This window comes from Homo sapiens, chromosome Y, assembly GCF_000001405.40.
Source record: "Homo sapiens chromosome Y, GRCh38.p14 Primary Assembly".
In the NCBI taxonomy this organism is placed as follows: Eukaryota; Metazoa; Chordata; class Mammalia; order Primates; family Hominidae; genus Homo; species Homo sapiens.
Window position 1 is genome coordinate 549,573 of NC_000024.10, and position 7,460 is coordinate 557,032.

The 7,460-nt window shown below is 48.3% G+C and overlaps 2 annotated features.

The window, feature by feature from the left end:
• Positions 6,303–6,922: an enhancer, noted in NCBI's record as "CNE-2 PCR-amplified reporter construct fragment". NCBI's record gives its function as "enhancer in ovo in chicken limb buds, and in human U2OS osteosarcoma cells" and the evidence as "EXISTENCE:reporter gene assay evidence [ECO:0000049][PMID:19997128, PMID:26631348]".
• Positions 6,360–6,659: a conserved region, noted in NCBI's record as "conserved region; CRCNE00011089 more deeply conserved sub-region". NCBI's record gives the evidence for it as "EXISTENCE:sequence alignment evidence [ECO:0000200][PMID:21731768]".

Sequence of the window (7,460 nt, forward strand, 5' to 3'; positions counted from 1 at the left end):
CCTTCCCTTCATCCATCCATCCACCCACCCATCTACCCATCGATTCATTCATCCACCCAGCCACTCATCTGTTTATTCATCTATCCATCCATTCACCCACCCATCCATCTGTCCATCCATCCATCCATCCAACCATTCACCCATCTTCCCATTTATCTACCCATCTATCCATCCATGCATCCATCCATCCATGCATGCATGCATCCATCCATCCATCCCTCCATCCATCCATCCATCGACCTACCCACTCATCCATCCATTCATCCATTATGCATCCAACCTTCCAATCATCCATCTATCTATGCATCCATCCATCCATCCATCCACTCATTCATTCATCTATCCATTATTCATTCATCTATCTATCCATCCGTCCACTCATCCATCCAGCCTTCCATCCCTTCTTCCATCCATCCACCCACCCATCTACCCATCGATTCATTCATCCACCCAGCCACTCATCTATTTATCTATCAATCCATCCATCCATCCATCCATCCACCCACCCACTCACCCATCTGCCCATTTATCTACCCATCTTCCCATCCATCCATCCTTCCATCCATCCATCCATCCACCCACTCATCCATCCATCCATCCACCTACCCACTCATCCATCCATTTATCCATTATCCATCCAACCTTCCAATCATCCGTCTATCTATGCATCCTTCCATCCATCCATCCATCTACTTATTCATTCATCTATCCATTATTCATTCATCTGTTTGTTCATCCATCCATCCATCCATCCATCCATCCAACATTCCATCCATTCATCCATCCACCCACTCATGTATTTATTTATCTATCCATCCATTAACCCACCCATCCATCTATCTATTCATCCATCCATCCATCCATCCATCCATCCATCCATCCAACGTTCCATCCATTCATCCATCCACCCACTCATGTATTTATTTATCTATCCATCCATTAACCCACCCATCCATCTATCCATCCATCCATCCATCCATCCATCCAATCATCCATCTATCCGTCCATCCATTCACTCATGCATCCATCCAATCATCCATTCATCCATCTACCTACCCAATCATCCATCCATTCATCTGTTATCTATCCAACCTACCAATCATCCATCTATCTATGCATCCATCCATCCATCCACCCTCCCATCTATCCATATATCCATTCATCCATCAATCCAACCACTCATTCTTCCATCTATCCATTTTTCATTCTTCTATTCATTCATCCATCCATCCATCCACTCATCTATTCAGTCATCCATTCACCCACCCATCTATCCATCCATTCATCCATCCATCCATTCATTCATCCACACAGCCACTCATCTATTTACTTATCTATCCATCCATCCACCCACCCATCCATCGATCTATCCATCCACCCATCCGTCTATCCACTCATCCATCCATCCATTGATCCATTCACCTACCCATTCATCTATCCATCCATGCATCCATCCATCCAATCATCCATCTATCCATTCATCCAGCCACCTCAATAAGTTGAAGACTATCTGCCCCTTCCTGCAAAAACCTTATAATTTTTTGAAATAAAAGAGTAAGATCAAGGGTCACCAACATACAATCTTCCCATTTGTTCCCAGGGTACAGCCACACTCTTGCGTTTTTGCATGATCTCTTCTAGGTGAATACTTCTCTCTCTTCCTTCCTCTCTCTCTCTCTTCTTTCTTTCTTCCTTCCTCTCTCTCTCTCTCCTTTCTTTCTTTCTCTCTTTCTCTCTTTCTTTCTTTCTTTCTTCTTTCTTACTCTTTCTTTCTTTCTGTTTCTGTCTTTCTTTTTCTCTCTTCCTTTCCTTCTTTCTTTCTTCTTTCTTACTCTTTCTTTCTTTCTGTTTCTTTTTTTCTTTTTCTCTCTTCCTTTTCTTCCTTCTTTCTTTCTTCTTTCTCTTTCTTTCTTTATTTCTTTCTTCTTTCTCTTTCTCTCTTTCTTTTTCTTTCTCTTTCTCTCTCTCTTTCTCTCTTTCTTTCTTTCTTTTTTTTTCTTTCTTCTCTCGTCCTTTCCTTCTTTCCTTCTTTCCTGTCTCTCTCTCCCTTTCCCTCCTTCCTTCCTTGCACATACACACAATCAGGCATAAAACATGCACAAACACACAGAAACACACACAAACGTGCACAAATACACACATATAAACAAATATACACAAACAGACGTGCAGAAACACACATGCATGCACAATCATGCAAACAGACACACACAGACACACATATGAGCATGCGGAAACAGACATACATGCACAAATACACACAGACAAACATGCACAAACACACACATGCTCAGATACACAAAAAAAACCATGCACAGATACAGACATTCACAAATAAACTCACAAACATGCACAGATACACACAGTCATGCACACAAACATGCACAAATACACATAAACATACAGACACACAGACGAACATGCACACATATGAATGCACAAATACACGTACACACACACACAAAAAGCACAAATACATGCACACAAACACATAAAAACACACAAACACACACGTGCAGAGGAAATATTGTCTATATTACAGGCAGCTACTGCCATGGCCAGCTAATTTTTTGTATTTTTAGCAGAGATGGGGTTTTGCCCTGTTGGCCAGGCTGGTCTCAAACTCCAGACCTCAGGTGATCCGCCTGCCTCAGCCTCGCAAAGTGCTGGGATGACAGGCATGAGCCACCACACCCGGCCTGTGGTGTGATTTTTTTTTTTCTTTTTTTGAGAAGGAATTCCACTCTTGTTGCCCAGGCTGTAGTGCAATGGTGCGACGTCAGCTTACTGCAACCTCTGCCTCCCGGGTTCACACCATTCTCCTGCCTCAGCCTCCCGAGTAGCTGGGATTACAGGCAGCTACCACCATGCCCGGCTAGTTTTTTGTATTTTTAGTAGAGACGGGGTTTCACCATGTTGGCCAGGCTGATCTCGAACTCCTGACCTCAGGTGATCCACCTGCCTCAGCCTCCCAAAGTGCTGGGATGACAGGTGTGAGCCACCGCACTCGGCCTGCGGTGTGATTTTTTATGTACCCAAACATACTGGCATTGCTGCCGGGACGGTCGACTGCCTGAGATTTCAATGCGTTTGTCGTTCGGATCTGCAAGGGCGATGAAAGTTTTAAAGTCCCCACGTGCTCAGGTGTCCTGTGGGTTGAGGTTCTTTACAGACAGGTTTCCACTCCCTTTGCTCCCAGATCTGAGCCTCTGCTGAAGACAATGCCTCATCTTCGATGGGAAAAAGGCACAAGTCTTTGGCGATTCCCTTTTTCGTTCTCATACGTAGAAACCCCACTGTCTTCTTCACGGCCAGTGACTCTGTCGAATGTCCCAAGTCAACCGGGGAGAAAACCCCAAATTATGAAACAATTAAAAAAAAAATAGTCGTTCGATTTTTTTTTCTTTCCCCCGTAACGTCGTTAGTAGCCCCATGGACTTGAGGTTGCCTTGGGCCAGAAGTTACGTTTCTCATTAATATACATCAGCTGTTCTCTGTTTCTTTTTTTTTTCATACCGACCGTGGTAGCCAGGCACCTGTCCCCCTTTTGTTCCTCGATAGAGCGTGTCTGAACGTAAAAGAAAAATTGTCACTTCTCATTACGTGAACTAAGGGTACGAGAATTGATGGGCCTTTCTACCTAATGCTGTTATCCGAACCAGGTTTGTTTATTTAATGAACAAAATGTCACATCAAATCTGTCTTCCCCTGACGTCTGAACCCCTGGCAGCTGCTGGTGGCAGGGTTTCCTGAAATGGGGAGGTGGAGGGGGGCTAGCTGGATTAACTAATTTAATTTGCATGTGATTCAAAAGTTAAAGCAAAGACTCACACCTCCTCTGACGGAACAAATTCTCTTATTATTATTACTATTGTTTTTTTTTTTTCAGATGGAGACTTCCTCTGTCCCCCAGGCTGGAGTGCAGTGGTGCAATCTCGGCTCACTGCAACCTCCGCCTCCCGGGTTCAAGCGATTCTCCTGCCTCAGCTTCCCAAGTAGCTGGGATGACAGGTTCCTGCCACCATGCCTGGGTAATTTTGGAATTTTTAGTAGAGACGGGGTTTCACCATGTTGGTCAGGCTGGTCTCGAACTCCTGATCTCAGGCTGGAGTGCAGTGGCATGATGTCGACTCACCGCAATCTCTGCCTCCCAGGTTGAATCGGTTCTCCTGCCTCAGCCTCCCAAGTAGCTGGGATTACAGGCACCCGCCACCAGGCCAGGCAAATGCTTGTATTTTTAGTAGAGACGTTTCACCGTGTTGGTCAGGCTGGTCTCGAACTCCTGACCTCAGGCTGGAGTGCAGTGGCGTGATCTCAACTCACTGCAACCTCTGCCTCCCAGGTTGAATCGATTCTCCTGCCTCAGCCTCCCAAGTAGCTGGGATTACAGGTGCCTGCCACCAGGCCAGGCAAATGTTTGTATTTTTAGTAGAGACAGGGTTTCACCATGTTGGTCAGGCTGGTCTCGAACTCCTGACCTCAGGTGATCCTCCCGCCTTGGCCTCCCAAAGTGCTAGGGTGACAGGCGTGAACCACCATGCCAAGCTGTTATTATTATTTTTTAAAGCACATGTCCAAGGGCCATTGTATGGTGAGATTCCAGATGTTGGATGGCAAGAAGGAGGAGTCCTGACCCGGATTGGTCAACATCAGGGAAACCACAGCCCGTTTAGATGGAAGATTGAAAGTTCCGTCATGCCGTGTGAGCTTCCCACAACCGAGATACAGATACATAATCTCCCTGGGAACGTATCAAACTGTCGGGGCACCAGGAGCCTCTGCCTTCTCTTCGGCTGCCAATTTCAGGGACGAGGACCGCAGCCAGGTCAGAAGCACGGTTTGCAGGGGTGACAGCTTGTCACTTGCAGAGTTACGCAGTCTAAGCCACTTCATAAATGCAAGGTGCCGACGTGTTGGAAAGGCTGGAGTCCCGGGGTGGAAACACGTATGTCGGGGGCCAGGTGTGTCCCTGGGGGAACAGCCCACGCGTATCGGATGCCAGGTCTCCGCCCACCCCGGAGCCAGCTCCGCTTGGACTGGCCAGCTTGGGTCTGCTCTGGAGAGGGGACGTATGGAGAAGCTGCTCTGGAGAGGGGATATATGGGGAGGCTGCTCTGGAGAGGGGATGTATGGAGAGGGGACGTATGGAGAAGCTGCTCTGGAGAGGGGACGTATGGGGAGGCTGCTCTGGAGAGGGGACATATGGAGAGGCTGCTCTGGAGAGGGGATATATGGGGAGGCTGCTCTGGAGAGGGGACATATGGAGAGGCTGCTCTGGAGAGGGCATGTATGGAGAGGCTGCTCTGGAGAGGGACATACGGAGAAGGTGCTCTAGAGAGGGGACGTATGGAGAAGGTGCTGTAGAGAGGGGATATATGGAGAGGCTGCTCTGGAGAGGGGACATATGGGGAGGCTGCTCTGGAGAGGGGATATATGGGGAGGCTGCTCTGGAGAGGGGATATATGGGGAGGCTGCTCTGGAGAGGGGACATATGGAGAGGCTGCTCTGGAGAGGGGACATATGGAGAGGCTGCTCTGGAGAGGGGACGTATGGGGAGGCTGCTCTGGAGAGGGGATATATGGGGAGGCTGTTCTGGAGAGGGGACGTATGGAGAGGCTGCTCTGGAGAGGGGATATATGGGGAGGCTGCTCTGGAGAGGGGACGTATGGAGAGGCTGCTCTGGAGAGGGCATGTATGGAGAGGCTGCTCTGGAGAGGGGACATATGGAGAGGCTGCTCTGGAGAGGGGATGTATGGAGAGGGGACGTATGGAGAAGCTGCTCTGGAGAGGGGACGTATGGGGAGGCTGCTCTGGAGAGGGGACATATGGAGAGGCTGCTCTGGAGAGGGGATATATGGGGAGGCTGCTCTGGAGAGGGGACATATGGAGAGGCTGCTCTGGAGAGGGCATGTATGGAGAGGCTGCTCTGGAGAGGGGACATATGGAGAGGCTGCTCTGGAGAGGGGACGTATGGGGAGGCTGCTCTGGAGAGGGGACGTATGGGGAGGCTGCTCTGGAGAGGGGATATATGGGGAGGCTGTTCTGGAGAGGGGACGTATGGAGAGGCTGCTCTGGAGAGGGGATGTATGGAGAGAGGGGATGTATGGAGAGAGGGGATTTATGGAGAGGTCCCACACCAGGCTCCATCCAAGGAAGGGAGAAGCATTTTCACCCAGGCCCTGTTTACGCTTCGCCGCGCTGTCCTCTGTCACGCACCGTGGCCGAGACCACAGCTGAACGTCCAGAGGCTGCAGAGAAAAACAGAAGCTGGCTCTGTGTGTGTGTGTGTGTGTGTGTGTGTGACATGACAGCCGGGCCTCTGAAGCGCGCCGTGGAAGACGCAGTTGTGAGGATATACGTGGCAATTAAAAATAATTGGCAAGCAGGTCTCGTTCAGCCCTTCGGAGAATGCAGCGACCATATAATGATGTTTCATTAGCCATGCTGTACACTGCACGCTCCGTATGGCACTCACAATTAAACAGCCTCATAAAGGAGAGAAGGAGGGAAGAGAGAAACATGAAAAAACCCAAAATACCCCAGCTCAGATTAGCATTGCATGTAATCGGCACTTCATTAGCTAATTGATTTCTTATTAGTTACAGGCAGTGGCCCAGCTAGGGCTTCTGCACACGTCATTAGCTGCATTTACACCGTTATGCGGATGCTCGTTTTGTAGCTAAACATTCCTGGAATCAAGGGTGCCTCTGTTGCTTACGGCAATTGCACTCACTTTATTTTATGTTTTCTTGCTAATGTTGGCTTAACCTCCAAATCAAAAATTCTCTCCCCCTGGAGTGGGGGGGAGCCTCACCAGATTTAATCACAACGTTCAACACAGAGAAACAGGCCACGTCATCCGATCTGAGCTCAGCTACGTCTTGTTTGCTGTGTTTTATTTTCAGCTTGTTTTATGGCTCGCCGGAAAAAGCCAGCCGTCTTCCCCGGGGACAGTCATCTCTGGACAGGGTGCATGTCCCCCCTCACGACGTCCAATGTCACCACGGCTGCATGTCGCACCTTGCAGATGGACAGCTGTAGGCCTGACCACACCTGTCTTTAAATGCTTCTTGGGGTGGTGGGGGGAGGGGGAAGTTTGCAGAGGTCTGAAATTCACAGGTAACCGTCTCTCTCCATGGCACAGAAATGGATTGCGAACTGGCGTCGGCCACGGAGAGGCTGCTTGGACCTCAGTGTAGGATTACTTTTGGTTATACGATATTTTATAAGCATATATAATTTGGTTTTCTGATTTTGGGTTTTTTGTTTTATTTATTTATTATTTATTTATATATGATTTATTATTTATTTGATTATTTATTTATTATCTTATTTACTTATTTATTTATTTAATTTTTTTTTCTGAGACGGAGTCTCGCTCTGTCGCCCAGGCTGGAGTGCGGTGGCGCGATCTCGGCTCACTGCAAGCTCCGCCTCTCGGGTTCACGCCATTCTCCTGC